The 25,844-nt window shown below is 39.4% G+C and overlaps 1 protein-coding gene across 23 annotated transcripts in view; it reads right to left on the bottom strand.

The window, feature by feature from the left end:
• The window catches only part of CATSPERE (catsper channel auxiliary subunit epsilon), a 189,263-nt gene that overhangs the window by 53,129 nt on the left and 110,290 nt on the right, over nt 1-25,844 (bottom strand). For 19 of the 23 annotated variants that reach the window (XR_001737095.2, XR_001737096.2, XR_001737099.2 and 16 more), the window contains 3 exons: nt 14,604-15,046; nt 5,522-5,580; nt 3,437-3,512 (listed from right to left, as the gene is read on the bottom strand). Coding sequence is in view for 20 of the 23 variants with exons in the window: in XM_011544138.3 (XP_011542440.1) it covers nt 3,437-3,512; nt 5,522-5,580; nt 14,604-15,046 (578 nt within the window). In the remaining 3 variants the exon portion in view is untranslated. The other 4 variants (XM_047417127.1, XM_047417129.1, XM_017000952.2 and 1 more) reach the window with 3 other exon arrangements.

Raw genomic sequence — 25,844 nt, 5'->3', positions numbered from 1 at the left:
CTCAACCAAATAAAATCCCATTAGAATCTGATGCAATAAGTATATTGCATCTATCCCCAAATGTACCTCTACCGTTAGTAGCAATTTTTACCTTCTCTTTTTAACAGATTCAATACTTTTGCAGTAAGAACAGGGTAGAATGAATATTACACACAAAAATTAAAATGGAATTTCATGGAACTTTGCTAAGAAGATAGGTTATATCTGGTAGCTGGAATGCATTATATCTAAAGATGAGACTATTAGCTTCATTAAATCTCAGTTATTAGGAAAACGAACTGTTGCAAAATATCTTACCCTGCTTGTAATGCTTAGATACATGTTGCTTAAAAATAATATACAGGTTCCATGGAACTAAAATACAATTAATTACTATACAGATATTAAAGGAAGGCTTACAGAGATAGTGAAAGTTAAAAATAAAGTGGATGAATGCTTTAGCTTTATCTATAAGAACTGTCAGTTTTCCAGGCAGAGAGTCATGGCTGCTTGTAACCAGGGTCCTGGTTCTCCCTCTGCTGGGATACCTACTTCCATTTCCACCTGGCTCCAGGACCCCTGACCTTCCAGCAGGCTGTCTCAACAGGGTCTACACACTTGCGTTCTGCCTTATGCATGTTGTTGGATGTTGCACATTTCCACAAAGCAAATCTGGAAAAACTCTAATACTCCCTACCGTATAAGAAGGACTTAGGGGTCAGGAGGGTGGGGATAGGACGATGTCCAGCCAAGTTTGGTGGCCTTAAAGAGTTGATGCTGCTAAACCAAGACCTTTTGGTCTTCATTTCAAAGGCATGCTTCACAGTGGGAGTGCATATTTTATTTCCTGGACCACTTGACTTCAAGCACAGGGCCTGATTTGTTCTCCCAACCACACTACCCACAGTCCTCACCAGCCACCATCATTAAATCTTTGCTTTCCTGATCAGAATCATTGGCCTGCCCTTTATCTTTACTAAATTATCTATATAAGGGTTGACAAAGGTTCTCAAATCTATCATAGTCAGGACCCACCATCACTTGATGATCTCATTTGCAATGTTTCTTCTCTTCCTTGTCCTAGTTGAAAAAAATCACCCCAAGCCTCAGGATCAAGCACCATGGCTAGGATTAAAAATATGAGTTAACCTGTAGGTGGATATTGAAAAGGAGTTGCAGGTATAGTGTGGGGAGCACAAATAATCCTGTTTCCTAGAGTACCCACTGCTGCAGGGCTGACACATATTCCCAGAACTGGACACCTAATTAGAGAGATTCTGACATATGGCCTAAATGACAACACTTCTCCTTAGTGCAGAGACGGAGCCGGACAGCTCCTGCCTTAACCAAGAGTTGGACACAGCGTATTTCTTCTAACCAGACAGATTAACTGACCTGAGACAGGGATTCTAAAGGCCCTCAACACAAATGCTGTTAGATAATGCACTGCACAAAGCTGTAGTCACCCCTCCCAGGGAAAGTTCATCTCGGAAGGATTTACTAAGGCCCTCTGGGGGCTGGCCTACATTTCTGCATTTCCAGTTCTTGGTGCATGGTTAAAAAGTGAGATGCAGCCTTGTTGGAGCTGCCAGTTCTATTTGCTGCTCTGCTGCAGGCTCTGAACACTAAAAGATAAAGACAACAGGCTCCTATTCAAATAGTGCAGTCCATGTCCCTTCGGTCCAGCAGGTTTAGCAAGGGCCTAACTTCACCCAGTGGGTCAGTCTGTAGGCCATGGTTCTGTGTCTACACAGAGCTGGGTCCTATGTCTCTACAATATTTATCTGGGAGGCTGATGGCTTGCTAAGCCATGAGTGTGGGAGCACAAGGAAGGAACCTTGTGGTTGAAGGCATACTTCACAGTTGTGTGCATGTTTTGATTTCCTTGGCTGAGTAGAGGACCTGCCTCTACACGGCCACATTTCCTGTTGCCTGAAAGGGCTACCGCATCTTTCCTCATTCTATTTCAGTGGGTAGGTCAGGACAAACTACCTGCAGTGGGCACAGAGGATGGCTAGATTTGTCCTGTCCTTGTCTGCAGGGTACCAAAGAGGAAACAGAAGGAAGAAACCAGTATATTAGATAATTACTATGTAATAGGCATTGCTTTGGGTACTTTACATGAATAATCTCATTTAATACTCTCAACAACCCCATAAGATAGATGGTACATTTTCCCTTTTACAAATGAGGCAGCTGAGGCTCAGAGTAAGTAGCCTACCCAAGCCAGTGGATGGTAGAATGTGGATCTGAACTCAGGTTAGATGAACCTGATTTTGTAATGCCTTGGCTGGGCAGGATAGAATGAATAGGGATCCCTAAAAAATTCTATAGATTAGAGAGGGCTGGAGGAAACCACGGTGCTTCGGGAAGGCATCCATAAAGGAAGAGGGTAAAAGCAGTTAAAGACAGAAACTGCAGACCTAGGCTAGGCCAGGACCTTCCTAGGTTGTGGTTTCTTATTTCCTACGTGGATTAAGCTGGCATGTGGTAGGCAGACAGGGGAGTTGTTGGTGTGCACCTGCAGGCGATTTCCTGGGGAAGCAGCGTGTGTCTGCAGTGCTCAAGGATGGATCACGTCTGCCTCAGTTCAAGGCTCCCTCTAAATGTATGGAACCTTGCCCTGGTAGGAACGCAGGTTCCTCATGCTTGGGTTCTGAATGGGAGGGGCCAGGTCCTATTTCGCTTTGTATTCCCCATATATAACACAATGCCTGGTATATAGTAGGTGCTCCATATATGTTTACTGAATGTTAGGCTGAGAAGTAATAGAGAGAGGAGACGTGTGAAATATAGACTCAAAGGAGGCGGGGTTAAGAATTTATGTTGAATTTCACAATACTATAATATAATATATAATATAGTAATAATACTGTTCAGTTACCTGAACACCCTGATACTATTTCATCCCTCCATGCCTTTTCCTGGAATGTTTTTGCACCTGCCTGCTGAACTTCTACCTATTCATCACTGGTCGTTTTGTGTATCCCTTTCTTTTCACCTTTCCCCTCCCAGTCTCAGTAAACTTCCTTAGTTTACTTTCCTCTGGGCTGTTTGAGAACTGTGTATACCATTTTCCATAATAAAATGTTGCAAAATTAAGCTAGTTTACGTTTACCTCTAGGGAAGGTACCCTGTCTTTTTATTTTTGCAACTCCCATTACCGAGCACACAGACTGACACACAGAAACAGAGTAGGCATACAATAAACTTTTTTAAATGAATAAATGATTTTTTCTTTGTTTTTTTATTAAATTATGAATAAACGATTGTTTTGAAGAAATAAGTGCAGAATAAATATGGAACTTGCTAAGTAATAGGAGGATGGTACTCTATGGAGGTATTGTATGGAGGTATTGCATGGAGGTATTGTACGGAGGTATTGTATGCATTATTTGGTTGACCGCCTATACATTCTTGAAGTGAAATATTTGGGTCTTCAGCCCATGTCGCTTACCTTTTGGGCTATTGGACATGCTTTTGAATATTCACTAGGTCGAAACTGAACCAGCACAAGACCCGTGTGCTTGTCTCTAGGAGAAACAATTCGTACAGGTTATTGTATCATGTGAGAGACAGGCATGACACTGTCTTTCTGTAGAGCAAGTGCAAAGTCCCATGTGCACGGTGTGATTGACCTCCCACGCCAATTTCTAGAGGCCTGGAGGATGGTGCTGCTGGTAACAGCTCTCTGCTTCTGCTAAGACAGCTCTGCATGCTAGTCCTATTGTAAAGTTGCTCCCACCTCATCGTATCCCATGTTTTGGCCACCATAGGGTTAATGCGATGGGAAGCAGAAATGAGCATCCTACCAGCATTTCAACCACCCTATTTCATTCACACAGTCCCTGGGCAATGGGGCTCTGCTGCAGACATCTCGACCTGAAGGTGGCAGCCACTGTGTGGGTTCCTCCTCTGGCTCCTACCCGTTTTCCCCTCGTATTGATAGCACCTTTGGACAATAAAGAGTGAGTTGTAAAATTAGTTTTCTGAGCCACATTAAATGGTCTAATATGATCTGACTGGGATTGAAAGCTAGGTCAGATAGAATGCCTTTCTCCACTATGAAGTGCACAAGAATCATTTTGTGTTCAGGCAAAACGTGAGGGCTAAAAAATAATAGAAGAAAACGTGAAAGTTTGATTTATACCTACACCTGCTAAGGTTTTTTTTGTCAAAAAAAAATGAGGACAAACAAACATAAAAAGTGTCCTTGGCAATTTTACGTGTATTCTATAGCAATGTAAATCTTAGTAAATATCCACAAAACCATAAATATCCAAAGGAACCTAGACCATTAGGAGCATAAAGAGATAAGTTGGTGGGTGAAAGGGAAAGAAAGGAATTCAGCCTCTCCTGGGTATGGAGTCGAAAGCAGCATTTCTCCCTACTCTTCCTGATCAGTCTCTGTCACTGATTTATATATATATATATATATATATATATATATATATATATATATATATATATATATATATATATATATCAAATTCTGTTTTCTTCATAGCACTTACCAGTATTTGAAATTACTTATTTGATGATTGGCTGTTTTCTCACTGGAGAATGGGTTCCATGACACTAGAACTTCATCTTTCTCATTTACCCTGTATTTTAAATACCTAGAAAGTGCTTGGCATAGAGCAGGTAGTCAAACTCACTTGGAGTAGCACCAGACTAAAGAAAAATGGATTCTTCCTGCGGGTGCAGTGGCTCATGCCTGTAATCCCAGCACTCTGGGGAGCCAAGGTGGGCGGATCACCTGAGGTTGGGAGTTCGAGACCAGCCTGACCAACATGGAGAAACTATGTCTCTACTAAAAATACAAAATTAGCCGGCCGTGGTGGCGCATGCCTGTAATCCCAGCTACTCGGGAGGCTGAGGCAGGAGAATCACTTGAACCTGCGAGGTGGAGGTTGCAGTGAGCCGAGATCATGCCATTACACTCTAGCCTGGGTGACAGAGTGAGACTCCATCTTAAAAAAAAAAAAAGAAAAAGAAAAAAGAAAAATTGATTTTTCCTAGGGAAAATATGCTATTTTTCCAAGAAAATACTTCCAGGCTGTAATGATAGCCATAGGAATGCCTTCACACAGAATTCCATGTTGGTTGTCTTCCTCCAGGTAGCCTAGCTGCTACCTTACTGCAGTAGTCAAAGACAGCATTTTATCTGGCTCTATGCATAAAGAGTTTCTGTGATATCAGAGTTCTTATTTATGCTAGTGATGGTATGTAGAAACTTTGAGATGGGAACTAGTGATAAAATGTGCTTGAAAATTATTCAACTAAGAAACAGCCCTTTTTTTGCATCTTCATTTGGATGAATGAGAAATTCAGATAGGTCATGTTTCTTATTCAACTACAAGGAGTATTTTACATTTTATACAGCTAAATATTAATTTTACATCTATCCAGACATTGAAAGGAATCTGAAATTTGAATATTTAAAAGAATATGAGGCCATTTAAATAAAAGAACACCCACAAATCAATAACCTGAGTAGCATATTTGATACTGAGAAAGTTCTTTTAAAAGTTATACTTACTGTGTCTCAAAGTAATCAGATATTCTCTCATAATCTACATTCTGATAAAATGTTAGTGTCTGAAAAAAGAAAATTTAAAATTTATGTAAAGCAGGGAAATTGGGGGTGGTGATCCCACTTTAGTAGCATATGGCTTTCTACATCTAGGCATGTAAAATGCCTTCATTAGGGTATGTAATGATGTTCATCACGTGTAAGTAATCAACAAGATTGACTGGTGGATAGACAGGTGCATAGATACGTAATAAAGCAAGTACGCAAATATAATAAAATATTAATGTACATAGTGGGTATAGATATAGAGCTGTTAAATGTAAAATTCTTTCAACTTTTCTGTATGTTTGACATTTTCCATAATAAAATGTTGCAAAATTATAATATAAATTGAATTCATAGCCTCACCAAGAATCTCACATAAAAGTAATTCTACCTGACAGAAATGTTTATATGTGCTTTTCAGGAGGTATATACTAAAATATTCATTGTAACATTATTCAGAATAGCCTCCAAATAGAAACAGACCAATGTTCATCAACAGTAAAATGCCTAAGGATATCTTGTAGTACATTCATACAGAGTGACACAATATATCAGTGAGTATGAATGAATGACAGCTACAGAAAACAACATGGACTTTCATAAGCGTCATATTCAAAGACAAAAGCAAGACAAAAATACAATATATGTAGATGTTTATGGATGGATGTGTGTATATAATATACATGCAATGATTCCCTTCATATGAAGTTCAAAAATAGACAAAGCTTAGCTATATTACTTAGTGATGCATATGTAGGTTGTGAAACTATTAAGAAAAGTGAGGAAATTATTATTATTATTATTATTATTATTTGAGATGGAGTTTCACTCTTGTCGCCCAGGCTGAAGTGCAATGGCGCAATCTTGGCTCACTACAACCTCCACCTCCCAGGTTCAAGCGATTCTCCTGTCTCAGCCTCCCGAGTAGCTGGGATTACAGGTACCTGCCACCACATCCAGCCAATTTTTGTATTTTTAGTAGAGACGGGGTTTCACCATGTTGGTCAGGCTGGTCTTGAACTCCCGACCTCAGGCGATCCACCTGCCTCGGCCTCCCAGAGTGCTGGGATTCAGGTGTGAGCCACTATGCCTGGCCGAAAAGTAAGGAAATTATTACCACAAAAGTCAGACTAATGTTTAACCTGGAAAAGGAGACAATTCTGATCAGGGAAAACACAGGAGGGCTTTGGGTACTTCTGATGTTATATTTTTTTGACGTGAATGGTGATTACGTGGGTGTTTGGTTTACAATAATTTGCTAAATTATGCATAAATGTTTTATTTACTTTTCTATGTGGGTGTTATATTCATTTTTAAAAAACAAATGATTAGCTATGATGCTTAGCATCATACTAGCCAATAATTAGTCCGTGAAGTTACAGTGACCCAGCCTGCATTATATAAGCAAGGTGCTTTCATAATATACTATTGTACTTCATTGAGCCTCAATTCCTATAGGATGTAAGACTCATCCTGATTTCAGAGATGTTAAATGTTAAGAAAAAAGTGCCCTATCGAAGAGATCACTTGAGGTTAGGAGTTCAAGACCAGCTTGGCCAACATGGTGAAACCCTGTCTCTACTAAAAAAAAAAAAAAAAAAAAATACAAAAATTAGCCAGGCATGGTGGCATGCACCTGTAATCCCAATTACTCGGGAGGCTGAGATACAAGAATTGCTTGAACCCAGGGAGCAGAGGTTGCGGTGAACCAACATTGTGCCACTGCACTCCAGCCTGGATGACAGAGTGAGACCCTGTCTCAAAAAAATGTGCCTTTGAATTGATAAAATATGGTAGTTGTAGTGATGGTAGCAGTAGGAGTAGTGGTAGTGTTTGTAGTAATGCATACATATAGTACTTAGTATGCGCCAGGTGCTTTTCTAAGCCCTTAATGTATACTAACTCATTTAATCCTCATAAGAACCTTATGTGTCAAGTTGAAAGAAGAAAAAAAATTAGAATAAAAGAACCTTATGAGGTAGTTACTTTCATTACTATTATTCCCAATTTACTGATGAGAGAATTACAGATTTAAAAACTTGTTCAGTGTCATTTGGTAGTAAATGATAGAGCCAGTATTTAATTAGAAATGCAAATTTTGTATTTTTGCAAAATGCAATGTTTCATTGCCATTGGTCATTTGTATATTTTTTATGAATAACTAGTAGTTTGAAGGTCTGAGTTGCAAATACACAAATATACAGTAGACCCTTGAACAACACATGTTTGAACTATGCAAGTACACTTATATATGGGATTTTTTTTCAATTAGTATACTGGAAAGTTTTTTGGAGATTTGTGGCAATTTGAAAAAACTCACAGTTGAACCATGTAGCCTAGAATACTGAAAAAATTAAGAAAAAGGTGTTTCACGAGTACATAAAATATATGTGGATACTAGTCTATTTTATCATTTGCTACCATAAAATATATACAGATCTACTGTAAAGTTAAAATTTATCAAAACTTACACAAACATTTACAGACCACACATGGCGCCATTTGCAGTTGAGAGAAATATAAACAAATGTAAAGGTGCAGTAATAAACCATAACTGCATGAAATTAACTACAGTACACACTGTACTATGTGATCATTTCACAGCCACCTCCGATTGCTATTGCTGTGAGCTCAAGTGTTGTGAGTATCTGCTTAAAATGCTGTGTGACACTAGTCATCCTGTGGGCAGTTCGTCCTTCCAGTAAATTGCATATCACAGCAAAAACTGATCTCTTGTGGTTCTTGCATATTTTTTTTATCATGTTTAGTGCAATACTGTAAACCTTGAATAACACCATGGGCCCATAGAGGGTGCCACTAGTGATGCTGTGGAAGGTGCTCCCAAGCAAAGAAAAGTCATGACATCACAAGAAAATGTTGAACGAGAGGGAAAATTGAAAAACAGAACAAAACAAAAAAAGAGAAATGAAAAAAAATGTTGAAATGATTGATATGTACCTGTGTGTGTGTGTATATATATATATATATATATGTATATGCACCTATATATATAACCTGTATACATATATATGTACCTGTATAGATATGTACCCATATATATGCCTGTATATATATATATGTGTGTGTATATATATATACCTGTATATATAGAGAGAGAGGGAGAGAGAGAGAGAGACAGAGAGAGAGAGCTATATATATATAGCTGTAGACTGAGGTCTACAGTAAATGTGTTTTCTCTTCCTTATGATTTTCTTAATTGCATTTCTTTTCTCTAGCTTACTTTATTGTAAGAATACAGCATATAATACATATAAAATATGTGTTAATAGGCTGTTTAGGTTAGGCTTCCAGTCAACAGTAGGCTGTTAGTAGTTAAGCTTTTGGGGAGTCAAAAGTTATACCACGGCCGGGTGTGGTGACTCACACCTGTAATCCCAGCACTTTGGCAGGCCGAGGCAGGTGAATCACGAGGTCAGGAATTTGAGACCAGCCTGGCCAACAGCGTGAAACCCTGTCTCTACTGAAAATACAAAAATTAGCTGGGCGTGGTGGTGCACACCCATAGTCTCAGCTACTAGGGAGGCTGAAGCAGGAAGATCAATTGAACCAGGAGGTGGAGGTTGTGGTGAGCCAAGATCACACCGCTGCACTCCAGCCTGGGCAACAAGAGTGAAACTCCATCTCAAAACAAACCAACAAACCAACAAATAAACCAGTAAAAGTTATACCAGATTTTCAACTGGGCAGGGGTTGGTGCCCCAATCCCCACATTGTTCAAGAATCAACTGTATACTATAATCAAATTCTTGGAAAGAAAACCAAGAGTTAAATATATCCTTTTATTTTGGTACATTATCAATCCAGTCCTATTTTATTTATCATACTTTATTTTTTCCCTGTATCATCTTCCCCCATAGTAGGTAGCAATAGATCATATATCAAACAACTATGTTTGTATCCTTGAAAATATGCCTTTGGTATCTTTGTATCCTTGAAATACGTATAATGCCTTTTTGTTTGTTATTTATGTGTATGTATTTGTAATATTCATAAATGTTATTACACTGATAGTGCTATGGTCTGAATGTGTTCCTCTAAAACTTATGTGTTAAAACCTGATCACCAACATGATAGTATTGGAGGTGGAGCCCTTTGGGAGGTGATTAGGTCATGAGGGCACAGCCTCCTGAATGGGATTAGTGCTCTTATAAAAGAGGCCTCTGAGAGTGGCCTTGCCCCTTCTGCCATGTGAGGACACAGTGAAAAGACGCTGTCTGTGAGGAACGGTCCCTCACCAGAGACCAAGTCTGCTGGCATCTTGATCTTGGGCTTCCCAGCCTCCAGAACTATGAGAAAGTAAATTTCTGTTGTTATAAGCCACCTGGTTTGAGTTATTTTTGTTATGTAGCCCAAATGGACTAAGATAGATTTCAAACAGTTTCTTATAATTTTCATTCAACTCTGTGTTTGAAGATCTATCCATGAGACTGCATGTAAATCTAAATCCATGTTGTTTCCAAATCTGTTGATGCCAGATTATATGATTATTTAAAATAAGTAATTATATATAATATTATAGATTGATAAAATAAGTATCAAATGAAAGTAGAGTTACTGTTTCCCTGAGAACTAAGTTGACTTTTTTGGAAAATTTTGATAAAGCAAGTCACTGAAGAAATTGCTGAATTAGTAGGTATGAACAAGGTAATACTAAAAAACTGAAAAAAATTATAAAATTCTAGAGTTTCAGTTGCTTTTCCAGTGCCTTCAAGTATTTTTTTTCTTTATCTTAAAGAAACTGAAATAGGAACTCAGAAATGATGCATTATGAGCAAGGTTACATAAGAAAGGAGATGAAGAACTATAATAAATGGACCTATTTTAAAGAAAAGGCTTTGGTCCTATATGAAAAGTATGTTCATTTATTTAAGTTAAAGTAAAATGTTTCATATATATTTAAGTTAAAGTAAAATGTTTCACATATATTGGTTTCACTTTTTATTATTCTCTGCTTTCACTGACTTTGGAATTAACTGACCACTTCCATTCCATTGTATCAGATAGCAGGCTCACTATTCTATGTGCTTAAGGAAGCTGAGCCTAGAAATGGAAGGTGGGGAACAGAAACTGCCATTTGAGTTACACAGTTTTTAAGAAGAAATTGAAGTAACATGTAAAATGCTCACATTATGATATTAATTTGAAATGCACTATACAAAATAATATACACAGTATATTTATACCTATTGTTATAAGTAAAATGTTTATTCAGAAACAGAATGCTTATTTCTCAGTACTGCAAGGAAAAATTAGCATTCAGATAAAAAGTTTTCTCAGCAAGGCAATTGTACTTTCTGCAGAAAGGATGCTCCTCGCAGATGGAGCAATGGCGAGAGCACCCTTTCTGCAGAAAGTAAAATTGCCTTGCTGAGAAAACTTTTTATCTGAATGCTAATTTTTCCTTGCAGTACCGAGAAACAAGCATTCTGTTTCTGGATAAACATTTTACTTACAACAAAATGGTGACCCATACAGGGATACACTTTCCTCTGGGGGCAGTCTCTAGTCCTCTCTAATGAGGAGGTGCCCCACTGCCTCACTGCAGTGGCCTCAGGGGTAAGGAATTGAGACCCACTCAGTATGATGAATAAATCTGGACTCTCAGCAATATGGAAAGAAACTGGCTGGCAACCTGGAGTAAAGGATCCTCACATACCACGTGGACCAGGTAACCTTGTGCACGAGCCAAGGAAGGAAACACTGGAGGAGCCGGTAAAGTATTTCCTTGGTGGTCAGGACTAAGGAAAGAAAGCCGCAGGGTGGTAAAACATTCCTTGGACAGGATATACCAAGGAAACAGACACCGCAGAGGCAGTAGAGCATTCCTTAGTCAGGACTAAGGAAAGAAAAGCCATGGGAGGCGGTGAAGTATTTCTTAGGGTGTCTTAGAGGTTAAAAAGAGGTGAAAAATCCCCATTAGGGAGAGACTGAACCTCACACAATCCTCCAGCAATAGGAAAAATATTCAAAACTTCCCTTTCCTCTCTTCTCGGTGGAAGAAAGAGGCTAAGCTCCACTCCCACCAGCTGCTCCCTAGGGGAAAGGGAAGGAGAGGGGAGAACAGCAGCGTAGGCGGCTGGCAGAGGCAAGGGAAAGACCAGCAGAGAGGAAAGAGAAACTAGGAGAGGAAGTTAGAGAGAAAGAGAGCAACAGCAGCAAGCGCAGCTCCACATTGTTGTAGATTACTAGCACCTGGAAGAGTGGCAGTGGCTAGGATGCTCTCCTCGCACCCAGCCATGCAGCTAGAGCCATCCAGGCCACCAGCTGTCGAGCCCCAAGCCTTCTGTGCTGCTCAGGTACGTCCTGCCACCCTCGGAGGACAGCTGGCCATGGACGCCTGCAAGTTAGAGCTGAGCAGGAAAGTGTGAGTGTGCCGGGGCCAGGATACCATGCCGCGCAGCCCGGCAGCCAAGAGGTAGGTCCCTCTCCCTAGCCTGGCTCTGCGTGGAAGAAGAGGTCAAGGACTGGTGCCAGGAGGAGAGCAGAGGAGGTGAAAGAGCATGATCGTACAACTTACGGCAGGCACCTGCCAAGCCTCTGGGCCAGCAACAGCCCGGGGCCTGGGCTGTGGCCACAAGGATCCCACCCAGCCCAAGAAACTAAGTGTAAGAGAGGAAGGGAGAAAGTAAAAAGGAAAATCAGAAAGAAACAGGAGAGACAGATGGCGGCACATGCTCTGGGGCAGGGCCCATGCCATTGCCTGGCCCTGCCAGCTGCAAGAGTGGGAGAACTCAGGAGGGAGACAGCGCAAATGAGAGAGAGAGATAGAGGGAGAGAATAAGTGAGCGAGAGACTGAAAGAGACAGAGATCAGAGAAAGACACAGAAGGTAAGACTAGGAAGAAAAAGTGTAAAAAGAAGTCAGAAAGTTAAGGCATGTCAAAGATTGTCTGTGAAAGTCATAAAAAAAGTTATAAAAGGGAATTTATGCAAGAAATATTGTATAATTTAAAAGTAATTAGGCCTCCTGAATATAAAACTATTAAAGTTTGTTAAGTTTCTTAGAAACTTAACAGGATGCAGTGAAGTCAGACACTTCCAAGAGCTGACCCATCAGTCCGCCCTTATTCATCCCTAAGCAAATGTATAATAGTATTATAGAGGACATTTACTGAACACTCTGCCAAATAATTAGAGCAGTATTTGTGCTCTAGTTCAACTGGCTATCCATTTTACTCTAGCATTTCATCAACCAGAAAAACTTTTTCTTTTAAAAACTCAAGCAAAACAGCTAAGCCAAACATGTTAAAAAAAGTTTGAAGAGAAAAAAACTATAAAATCAAGAGGAAGGAATTGTAAAAATAAAAAGTTTCCTCTTCAAAGTTTCCCTTCTTGTTAAAGAATAAATCATAAGTGTTAGAAATAATAGTTTCTTTTAAAGACTAACTTCCTTCAAGCCTTCAAGCCTCCTTACTTTGTGCTAATAACTCTTTGCTAAGCCCTATCCTATGTAGCTGTTAGACATGCTCACAGGCATGTAGTACATCCTGTGTCCTTGTACTTTAACCGAGATATCTGTGCTGGACGTGCTCACAGGCATGTTCCAGTTCGCAGTCTATGCCCCTTTATTATTTAGGAATGTTATTATTTTTCTAAGTCTTTTCGTAAGCAACCTCCTTTTTTCCTTTGTTCCCTATTGCCTTTACCTATTTAGGAAAGTTTTAAATTATTAGCCCGTCAGGTTCAGCTTAGATTGTGAGGTCTAGCTTCAGTCAATGGAGACAAGACACAGTAGCAAGGACAAGCCCTGTAAAGGATAAAAATTGCTTCCCTCCTTTATTCAGGTGCACTCTTGCCATTGTTCCATCTGTGAGGAGCACCCTTTCTGCAGAAACTAAAACTGCCTTGCTAAGAAAATTTTTTGTCTAAATGCTGTTTTTTTCTTGTAGTACCAAAGAACAAGCATTCTGTTTCTAAGTAAACATTTTACTTATAACACCTATTATGACATTGTTTGCAAAGATGGCTGCAAGAATTTTTCCCATTCCCATATGCATGTCCCGTATGCAGTGTAACTTGCTATTTCTCCATAAGAGGTAGAGTTTATGTCACCATCCTATGAGTTAGGGATATGTGGCCAAACCTAGGCTTCTGCTCTCACCGTCTTGGAACACTGCCCTGAGACTGCCACAGAAGAAGCCAGGTCTAGTCTGGAGGATAACACTAGACCTGGGTTATCCAGCAGAGGCAAGTGTTCCAGCTGAGGCCCCTTAGATTAATGAGGCCATCTTAGGTCATGTAGTTGCAGACGAATTAGCAGATGCCCACATCACATCCACGAACCCAGATGAAACCAGCAGAACTGCATGGCTACTCACAGCCCAAACTATTGACGGATAGAATTGGTTTTTTTGTTTTGTTTTGTTTTGTTTTGTTTTGTTTTTTGAGAGGGAGTCTCACTCTGTCACCCAGGCTGGAGTGCAGTGGTGTGATCTCGGCTCACTGCAACCTCCACCTCCTGGGTTCACACCATTCTCCTGCCTCAGCCTCCCGAGTAGCTGGGACTACAGGCACCCGCCATGACGCCTGGCTAATTTTTTGTATTTTTAGTAGAGACGGGGTTTCACTGTGTTAGCCAGGATGGTCTCGATCTCCTGACCTCGTGATCTGCCTGCCTTGGCCTCCCAAAGTGCTGGGATTACAGGTGTGAGCCACCATGCCCGGCCCAGAATTGGTTGTTGTTCTAAGCAATTAGGTTTTGAGTGGTTTGTTATACTACAATAGACAACAGGAGTCTACAGGAAAGCCATGCATTAAAAAAAAAAAGAAGAAGAAGTGAACAATACAATTGACAATGAGTTTTGAAGGAATGTGTTATTAGGTGGCAAAGAGGGCTTGGATATGGAAAGCAAAAATAATGGCTTGGGAATGAATGGCTTATTGTGTTTTTATTTATTAAAAACTCAGACATTCCTCAACATTTTCCCAGCTGAGCCTAGAAGGGAAATCCATTTACAAAAATGTTAATATTATACTTTTATACTTATTAAAATCAAATGAAGAAATTTAAAATATTAGCTTACCAGAGTTTTGGTGCAGTATCCAAAGGCAGCTTCAAAGGAAATCTCATGACTCTCTTGTAATATTTTTGGGCCATAAGATTCCACAATAACATACAGACCAGTGTTTTCTGGATAGACGATCTGAGTCCAAACTGTCAGAGCCTCTCCCTTGTCCAAAAAGTAAAAAACATGAGCAACATTGTTATGAAATGCCATGTATGGGCATTTGTCTTTTGTTGTGAAAGCTATACTTTGTGCTTCCAGATGTAAGGGATAGTCCTGTATTTGTATTGTGCCATCATCCAAAGCATACAGGAAATATGTTTGACCAGATGTACTTAAGAAAATGAATGCTCTTGTTGTGTAATTTGTCCATAAATGCAGCTTTACTGCATCTCTAGTATTAATCTTGGAATAAAATATTACATTATTTTCCATTTTTACCAAAATATCTCCATAATAATCTGGAAAAAAGAGAAAAGTTTGTGTTAGTCTAAGTAACCATAAATCGTGCTGTTTTAGTTAAGTGTACTTTTAACCAAAATAATTTCTTTGATAATGACCGAGTATTTTCATACTTTGAGAAAGTTAGAATGTGCAGATATGAACCCATAACTTTACACTATATTGGGGAACTTCTCTGCCACTTCATTGTATTAGTTTTCTTCTTGAATACTATATCACTTATATAACATCATTTAACATAAAAAGCTGGAATTCATGTATTCAGTAATAACAAGGATGAGCATGGCAGGAATAGAGCTATTAGGAATTCTGCATTGTGTTGTGGATTGAATTGTGTCCCCCCAAATTCTTGTGTTGAAGCCCTAACGTCCAATGAGACTGTATTTGGAGACAGGGCCTTTAGGAGGTAATTAAGGTAAAATGGGCTAAGAAGCAGGGGGTCCTAGTCCAACAGAACTGGCGCCCTTATAAGAAAAGGAAGAGACACCAGGGATCTCTCCGGACACACAGAGAAGAAAGGCCACATGAGGACACAGCAAGACGGCGACTGTCTACAAGCCAGGAACTGAGGCCTCATAGAAACTAATCCTGACAGTACCTTGATCTTGGACTTCTAGCCTCTAGAAATATGAGAAAATCTAAATTTCTGTTGTTTAAGCTGCCCAGTCTGTGGGATTTTGTTATGGCAACCCTAGCAGGCTAATATAGCTGGAATGAAGACATGGAGGTGAGTGGGGGTGAGAGTGGTATAAAGCATAGCCTACCTCTGCAGGTTCACTCATAGCAGATAATCAGCTTTCTCCACTTAATATTCTGCCTAAGTCACAGTGGGTCATAGTGGGTAACTATCTTAACCTCTTTAGTTCTGTTGCTATGTCTGTAAAATGAACAGTTGGGCTAGATGATTTCATAGTTTTCTTTCAAGATATGACATTCTCTGTGTACAGCCTCTAGGAATATACTTTGTCAAAAGACAACACTTGGAGAGGACTGGCTGGAAGGAAGAGGGGAATTCATCAAGTCAGGGAGGTTCAGGCTGTGTTGTGTTTATGCATCTTACATTTGAAATCAGAATAAGTCAGTAACATTTTTACAAATTACTATAAATTGTATTCTACTTAAACTTATCTAATCAGAAATATATGCAGTAGATCACAAGGTGGAAGGGGAGAAATGTGAATGGATGACATAATAACATATAATTCCATGCTGAATAAAAAAGTAATTGCAGGATGCATGCAGTATAATGATATATAAAATTTAAAACTTCAGGAAACAAAACAATACATTGTTTTTGGATTATATATAATGTCCAAGTTGCTTCATGATATGGCCTGTCTGTTCTTTAGCCAGGTTTGTCTCTTGCCATTTTTTGCCTTACACTGTGTTATCTAGTCAGACTGACCTAATTTCAGTTCCCCAAACTTGCCATGTTCTTTCCTACCTCCACATCTTTGCACATGCTGTATTCTCAGCTTGGAATGCTACCTCAATCCCCCAGCCTAACCAGTGAAATCATTTTCTAATATATATACTCTCTCCCTAGTTTTCAGTTTAGAAGTCATTTCCTCCACACCTAGTTTTCTGATCCCATACATCTGGATTGATGTTCCCAATATTTGCTTTCATAGCACCTTCTCTTTTGCTGATCACACTGCTGACTACAAACCTTATAAATCATCCTTGCTTTAAATATGAAGTTAAAATGAGAATTAAGAATGATTTAAAAGATAATGTGGCTAAAGCCACACAGAGAAAAATTCATAGCCTTTTGCTTGTGTGTAGCTTTAAATGCTTAGAAAATAAGAAAGACTAAAAATAAATGAAATAACCATTTAACTTAATAAGCAGGCAAGAGATGACTAAAGTTACAAAAAGAAAGCAGAAGTAAAGAATCAATAATGACAAAAGCAGAAATTAAATTAAAAAGAAAGTAGATAAAATTAAGAATTCTTTTTAAAAGGAAAAGAAAACAAAACCTAAAAAAACACAATCTCTTGCAAGCCAAACTAACAAGGGGGTTAGGCACAAGCAATATTATAAATGAGGAAGATAATTATAGGTACATAAGAAATTTAAAAGTTAAAATAGCCTACTTTTGCCAATAAATTAGAAAATCTACATAAAATGAATTATTTCCTAGAAAGACAAGAACTTCTGAAATTGACTCAAGAAGGGATAAAATATTAGAATAGATCAATTAGAGAAAATAAAAATAATGAAAAGATACAACATTCCTGGTTGGGAAGATAAATATTGCAAACATCTATTCAACAAATGTATTGAATGCTTACTATGGGGCTATACTGTTCTAGGTACTTAGGAGGAAAATATTCATGAAAAAACAGAAAAGTCCTTCTCTTGTGTAGCTTACATTCCAGCAGAGAAGACTGCCAATAAACATGAAAATAAATTATTTAGTGTGTTAGGTGATTAAGGATATAGTAATCAAAAAAGTATAGCACTAGGACAAATAGATTAGTGGAACAGAATAGCCTAGAAACAATCCGGTTAATGTGAGGAATGAATACATAATACAAGTAGCATTTCAGATCAGTGGGAGAGGTTTGCTTAATAGAAGAATGGTTTAAGGCAACATCAGCTTTCAATGGGAAAAATACCATTAGATTCCTAACTCTTGCTAAATATCAAAACATAAAAATCAGAATTATAAGAATAATGAAAATATATAATATCTTTATAATTGAAATGACCTGTCATATTATGGCATATCAGAAGTTACAAATAAAAATATTAATAAATTTGACCATTTAAAAATACAAATTCTAAATACCAAACTCCCTCCAAAAAGTTACAGGAAGTTACACACTAGAGAAAATATTTGCAATACATGAGATAAAGAACATATCAGTATAGATAAACCCAATGCAAAAATGTCCAAACAGTATGAATAGAAAATTCACAGAAAAGGGGGAGTTGTGGGCAAGATGGGAGAATAGGAACAGCTCCAGTCTGCAGTTCCCAGCGAGATCAACGCAGAAGGCGGGTGATTTCTGCATTTCCAACTGAGGTTTAGCTCATTGGGACTGGTTAGACAGTGGGTGCAGCCCACGGAAGACGAGCTGAAGCAGGGTGGGGCGTCGTCTCACTGGGGAAGTGCAAGGGGTCAGGGAACTCCCTCCCCTAGCCAAGGGAAGCCACGAGGGACTGTGCCATGAGGAACAGTCTGGTCTTCCATAAGGAACCCATGGTATCCCTCCCCTAGCCAAGGGAAGCCATGAGGGACTGTGCCATGAGGAACAGTCTGGTTCCTCCATGAGGAACCCACGGTCTTTGCCACCCACAGACCAGGAGACTCCCTCAGGTTACTACACCACCAGGGCGCTGGGTTTCAAGCACAAAACTAGGCAGCCGTTTGGGCAGACACCAGGCTAGCTGCAGGAGTTTTTTGTCTTTGTTTTTGTTTTTGTTTTTTTTCATACCCCAGTGGTGCCAGGAACACCAGTGAGAGAGAACGATTCACTCCGCTGGAAAGGGGGCTGAAGCCAGGGAGCCAAGTGGTCTAGCTCAGTGGATCCCACCCCTATGGAGTCCAGCAAGCTAAGATCCACTGGCTTGAAATTCTCACTGCCAGCACAGCAGTCTGAAGTGACCTGGGACACCCGAACTTGGTGGGGGTAGGAGCGTCTGCCATTACTGAGGCTTGAGTAGGCGGTTTTCCCCTCACAGTGGAAATAAAGCTGCCAGGAAGTTCTAACTGGGCGGAGCCCACCACAGCTCGGCACAGCTGCCATAGCCAGACTGCCTCTCTAGATTCCTCCTCTCTGGGCAGCGCATCTCTGAAAGAAAGGCAGCAGCCCCACTCAGGGGCTTATAGATAAAACCCTCATCTCCCTGGGACAGAGCACCTGGGGAAAGGGGTGGCCCTGGGCGCAGCTTCAGCAGACTTAAACGTTCCTGTGAGCCAGCTCTGAAGAAGCAGTGGGTCTCCGAGCACAGCCCTCAAGCTCTGCTAAGGGACAGACGGCTTCCTCAAGTGGGTCCCTGACCCCTGTGTCTCCTGACTGGAAGACACCTCCTAGCAGGGGTTGACAGACACCTCATACAGAAGAGCTCTGGCTGGCATCTGGCGGGTGCCCCTCTGGGACAAAGCTTCCAGAGGAAGGAACAGGCAGCAATCTTTGCTGTTCTGCAGTCTCTGCTGGTGATACCCAGGCAAACAGGGGCTGGAGTGGACCTCCAGCAAACTCCAGCAGACCTGCAGGAGAGGAGCCTGACTGTTAGAAGGAAAACTAACAAACAGAAAGGAATAGCATCAACATCAACAAAAAGGACATCCACACAAAAACCCCATGTAAAGGTCACCAACATCAAAGACCAAAGGTAGATAAATCCACAAAGATGAAGAAAAACCAATGCAAAAAGACTGAAATTTCAAAAACCAGAATGCCTCTTCCCCTCCAAAGGATCACAACTCCTCGTGAGCAAGGGAACAAAACTGGACAGAGAATGAGTTTGATGAACTGACATAAGTAGGCTTCAGAGGGGAGTAATAACAAACTCCTCTGAGCTAAAGGAGCATGTTCTAACCCAATGCAAGGAAACTAAGAACCTTGAAAAAAGGCTAGATGAATTGCTAACTAGAATAACCAATGTAGAGAAGGACATAAATAACCTGATGGAGCTTCACAGCACGAGAACTTTGTGGAGTATACACCAGTATCAATAGCCAAATCGATCAAGCAGAAGAAAGGATATCAGAGATTAAAGATCAACTTAATGAAATAAGCATAAAGAAAAGATTAGAGAAAAAAGAATGAAAATGAATGAACAAATCCTTCAAGAAATATGGAATATATGAAAAGACCAAACCTATATTTGATTGGTGTACCTGAAAGTGATGGGGAGAATGGAACCAAGTTGGAAAACACTCTTCAGGATACTATCCAGGAGAAGTTCCCCAACCTAACAAGACAGGCCAACATTCAAATTCAGGAAATACAGAGAACACCAAAAAGATACTCCTCGCGAAGAGCAACCACAAGACAAACAATCATCAGATTCACCAAGGTTGAAATGAAGGAAAAAATGTTAAGGGCAGCTAGAGAGAAAGGTTGGGTTACCCACAAAAAGAAGCCCATCAGACTCACAGCAGATCTCTCTGCAGAAACCCTACAAGCCAGAAGAGAGTGGGGGACAATATTCAACATTCTTAAAGAAATGAATTTTCAACATAGAATTTCATATTCAGCCAAACTAAGCTTCATAAGCAAAGGAGAAATAAAATCCTTTACAGACAAGCAAATGCTGAGAGATTTTGTCACCACCAGGCCTGCCTTACAAGAGCTCCTGAAGGAAGCACTAAATATGCAAAGGAAAAACCAGTACCAGCCACTGCAAAAACATGCCAAATTGTAAAGGCCATCGACACTATGAAGCAACTGCATCAAATAACGAGCAAAATAACCAGCTAGCATCATAATGAAAAGATCAAATTCACACAAAACATATTAACCTTAAATGTAAATGGGCTAAATGCCCCAATTAAAAGACACAGAATGGCAAATTGGATCAAGAGTCAAGACCCATTGGTGTGCTGTATGCAAGACACCCATTTCACGTGCAAAGACACACATAGGCTCAAAGGGATGAAGGAATATTTACCAAGCAAATGGAAAGCAAAAAAAAAAAAAAAAAAAAAAAAAAAAAAAAAAAGCAGGGGTTGCAATCCTAGTCTCTGATAAAACAGACTTTAAACCAGCAAAGATCAAAAAAGACAAAGAAGGGCATTACATAATGGTAAAGGAATCAATGCAACAAGAAGAGCTAACTATCCTAAATATACATGCACCCAATAAAGGAGCACCCAGATTCATAAAGCAAGTTCTTAGAGACCTACAAAGAGACTTAGACTCCCACACAATAATAGTGGGAGACTTAAACACCCCACTGTCAATACCAGACAGATCGACGAGAGAGAAAATTAACAAGGATATCCAGGACTTGAACTCAGCCCTGGACCAAGCGGACCTAATAGACATCTACAGAACTCTCCACCCCAAATTGACAGAATATACGTTCTTCTCAGCACCACATCAAACTTATTTTAAAATCGACCACATAATTAATTAGAAGTAAAACACTCCTTAGCAAATGCAAAAGAATGGAAATCATAACAAACAGTCTCTCAGACCACAGTGCAATCAAATTAGAACTCAGGATTAAGAAACTTACTCAAAACTACACAACTACATGGAATCTGAATAACCTGCTCCTGAATGACTACTGGGTAAATAAATTAAGGCAGAAATAAATAAGTTCTTTGAAACCAATGAGAACAAAGACACAACGTACCAGAATCTCTGGGACAGAGCTAAAGCAGTGTTTATAGCACTAAATCCCCACAGGAGAAAGCAGGAAAGGTCTAAAATTGACACCCTAACATCACAATTAAAAGAACTAGAGAAGCAAGAGCAAACAAGTTCAAAAGCTAGCAGAAGACAAGAAATAGCTAAGATTGGAGCAGAAGTGAAGGAGATAGAGACACGAAAAACCCTTCAAAAAATCAATGAATCCAGGAGCTGGTTTTTTGAAAAGAATCTATGAATCTTGAAATCTATGAATCTATGAATCTATGAAATCTATGAATCTATGAAAAAAATCAATGAAACCAGGAGCTGGTTTTTTGAAAAGATCAACAAAATAGACCACTAGTCAGCCTAATAAAGAAGAAAGGAGAGAAGAACCAAATAGACACAATAAAAAAAGATAAAGGGGATATCACCACTGATCCCACAGAAATACAAACTACCATCAGAGAATAAACACCTCCATGCAAACAAACTAGAAAATCTAGAAGAAATGGATAAATTGCTGGACACATACACCCTCCCAAAATGAAACCAGGAAGAAGTCAAATCCTTGAATAGACCAATAACAAGTTCTGAAACTGAGACAGTAATGAATAGCCTACTAACCAAAAAAAGCCAAGGACCAGACAGATTCACAGCCAAATTCTACCGGAGGTACAAAGAGGAGCTGGTACCATTCCTTCTGAAACCATTCCAAACAACAGAAAAAGAGGGACTCCTCACTAATTCATTTTATGAGGCCAGCATCATTCTGACACCAAAACCTGGCAGAGACACAACAAAAAAAGAAAATTTCAGGCCAATATCCCTGATGAACATCGTTGCAAAAATCCTCAGTAAAATACTGACAAACAAAATCCAGCAGCACATTAAAAAACTTATCCACTACGATCAAGTCGGCTTCATCTCTGGGATGCAAGGCTGGTTCAATATATGCAAATCAATAAATGTAATCCATCTCATAAACAGAACCAATGACAAAAACCACATGTTTGTCTCAATAGATGCAGAAAAGGCCTTCAATAAAATTCAACACCCCTTCATGCTAAAAACTCTCAATAAACTAGGTATTGATGCAATGTGTCTCAAAATAATAAAAGCTATTTATGACAAACCCACAGCCAATATCATACTGAATAGGCAAAAGCTGGAAGCATTCCCTCTGAAAACTGGCACAAGACAAGGATGCCTTCTCTCACCACTCCTATTCAACATAGTATTGGAAGTTCTGGCTAGGGCAATCAGGCAAGAGAAAGAAATAAAGGGTATTCAAATAGGAAGAGAGGAAGTCAAATTGCCTCTGTTTGGAGATGACATGATTGTATATTTGGAAAACCCCATTGTCTGAACCCAAAATCTCCTTAGGCTGGTAAGCAACTTCAGCAACGTCTCAAGATACAAAATCAATGTGCAAAAATCACAAGCATTCCTATAGACCAATAACAGACAGAGAGCCAAATCATGAGTGAACTGCCATTCACAGTTGCTACAAAGAGCATAAAATACCTAGGAATACAACTTACAAGGGATGTAAAGGACCTCTTCAAGGAGAACTACAAACCACTGCTCAAGGAAATAAGAGAGGACACAAACAAAAGGAAAAACATTCCAGGCTCATGGATAGGAAGAATCAGTATTGTGAAAATGGCCATACTGCCCAAAGTAATTTATAGATTCAATGCTATCCCCATCAGACTACATTAACTTTCTTCACAGAATTAGAAAAAACTACTTTAAATTTCATATGGAACCAAAAAAGAGCCTGTATAGCCAAGACAATCCTAAACAAAAAGAACAAAGCTAGAGGTATCACGCTACCTGACTTGAAACTATACTACAAGGCTACAGTAACCAAAACAGCATGGTACTGGTACCAAAACAGATATATAGACCAATGGAACAGAACAGAGGCCTCAGAAATAATGCCACACATCTACAACAATCTGATCTTTGACAAACCTGACAAAAACAAGCAATGGGGAAAGGATTCCCTATTTAATAAATGGTGTTGGGAAAACTGGCTAGCCATATGCAGAAAGCTGAAACTGGATCCCTTCCTTACACCTTATACAAAAATTAAGATGGATTAGAGACTTAAACTTAAGACCTAACACCACAAAAACCCTAAAAGAAAACCTAGGCAATACCATTCAGGACATAGGCATGGGCAAAGATTCATGACTAAAACACCAAAAGCAACGGCAACAATAGCCAAAATCGACAAATGGGATCTAATTAAACTAAAGAGCTTCTGCACAGCAAAAGAAACTATCATCAGAGTGAAAAGGCAACCTACAGAATGGGAGAAAATTTTTGCAGTCTATCCATCTGACAAAGGGCTAATATCCAGAATCTACAAAAACCTGAACAAATTTACAAGAAAAAATAACCCCATCAAAAAGTGGGTGAAGGATATGAACAGACACTTCTCAAAAGAAGACATTTATGCAGCCAACAAACATGGAAAAAAGCTCATCATCACTGGTCATTAGAGAAATGCAAATCAAAACCACAATGACATACCGTCTCACGTCAGTTAGAATGGTGATCTTTAAAAAGTCAGGAAACAACAGATGCTGGAGAGGACGTGGAGAAATAGGAATGCTTTTACACTGTTGGTAGCAGTGTAAATTAGTCTATCCATTGTGGAAGACACTGTGGCAACTGCTCAAGGATCTAGAACTAGAAATACCATTTGACTGAGCAATCCCATTACTGGGTGTATACCCAAAGTATTATAAATTATTCTACTATAAAGACATATGCACACCTATGTTTATTGCAGCACAGTTCACAATAGCAAATACTTGGAACCCAAATGCCCATTAATGATAGGCTGGATACCAACCCAAATGCCCATCAGTGATAGACTGGATAAAGAAAATGTGGCACATATACACCATGGAATACTATGCAGCCATGAAAAAGGCTGAATTCATGTCCTTTGCAGGGACATGGATAAAGCTGGAAACCATCATTCTCAGCAAACTAACACAGGAACAGAAAACCAAATACCGTATGTTCTCACTCATAAGTGGGAGTTGAACAATGAGAACACATCAACACAGGGAGGGGAACATCACACACCAAGGCCTGTCAGGGGTTGGGAGGGTAGGGGAGGGATAACATTAGGAGAAATACCTAATGTAGATGACAGGTTGCTGGGTGCAGTCAACCACCATGGCACGTGTATACCTATGTAACAAACCTGCACATTCTGCACATGTATCCCAGAACTTAAAGTATAATAAACAAATAAAAAATAAAACAGAAATAAGGAAATGACAAGAAAAAAAGGAAATTCACAGAAGAATATGGCCAATAAATTTGTGAAACTAGATAAAACATCTAATTATAAAAGATATGTGCAATAAAATAACATTTTTCTTCTATATAACCAGTAACTGTTAAACAGATTCTATGAAAATGATACATTTTCAATACTTTTGGGGGAGTTTAGACTGTGACAAACTTTGCTGGTGGGTAAGTGAGAAGGATTTATCAACTTTTTAAATATTCGTAATCTCTGATTCAGGAATTCTATATCCAGTAATTTATATTACAGAAACACTTGTATCAGTGTGTGTACATATGCATATTTTCTGCAGCATTATTTGTAACAGAAAAAGAACTGAAGGCTAATATGTATCTAAATATCTATCTACACCCCTATTAATTAGACAGTAGTGTGCATAGACAGTGGAACAATACACAGCAGTTAAAATGGCATTCGTTTTATATCTATTATATGTATTGTTTTGAAAACATGCCCATTATATTTAGTATTTGCTTGTTTGAAAGTCTGGACAAACTCACAGGAGCTTTTTTTTTTTTTTTTTTTTTGAGACAGGATCTCGCTCTGTTGTCCAGGCTGGGGAGTTCAGTGAGGTGAACATGGCTCACTGCAGCCTTGACCTCCCGGGCTCAAGTGATCCTCCTGCCTCAGTCTTCTGAGTAGCTGGGACCACAGGCGTGTACCACCATGCCCAGCTAATTTTTAAGTTTTTAGTAGGGATGAGGTCTCACCATGTTGCACAGGCTGGACTCGAACTCCTGGAGTCAAGTGATCCTCCCACCTTGGCCTTCCAAAGTGCTGGCATTAGAAGCGTGAGCCACCACGCCTGGCCTCACAGGAGTTTCTTAATAGTTGGTTATTTGGGAAATGAGAATGGTGAGAGATGAAGGCCTTTAACTTCATACTTCATACACTTATGAATTGTTTGAGCGTGTTATATTTCATTGTTTCTGAATGACCTTCAGTACAACATTCAAACTGGGTATCTGACCTCTAAAATCTATCCCCAATGTATGATTCTAACTTTGTCTTCTTATCACTGTGGCTCATGGTTGTTTAAAAAACACATATGATCCTGTTTCATATGTGCTGTATAACACAAAACCTCCCTCTACAGGTTTCAGAGGGAACACGGCCCTATCAACACCTTGATATTCCACTTCTAGCCTC

The sequence above is a fragment of the Homo sapiens genome, chromosome 1 (genome assembly GCF_000001405.40).
Source record: "Homo sapiens chromosome 1, GRCh38.p14 Primary Assembly".
Classification (NCBI taxonomy): domain Eukaryota; kingdom Metazoa; phylum Chordata; class Mammalia; order Primates; family Hominidae; genus Homo; species Homo sapiens.
This window is presented reverse-complemented; position numbering and strand designations above follow the sequence as displayed.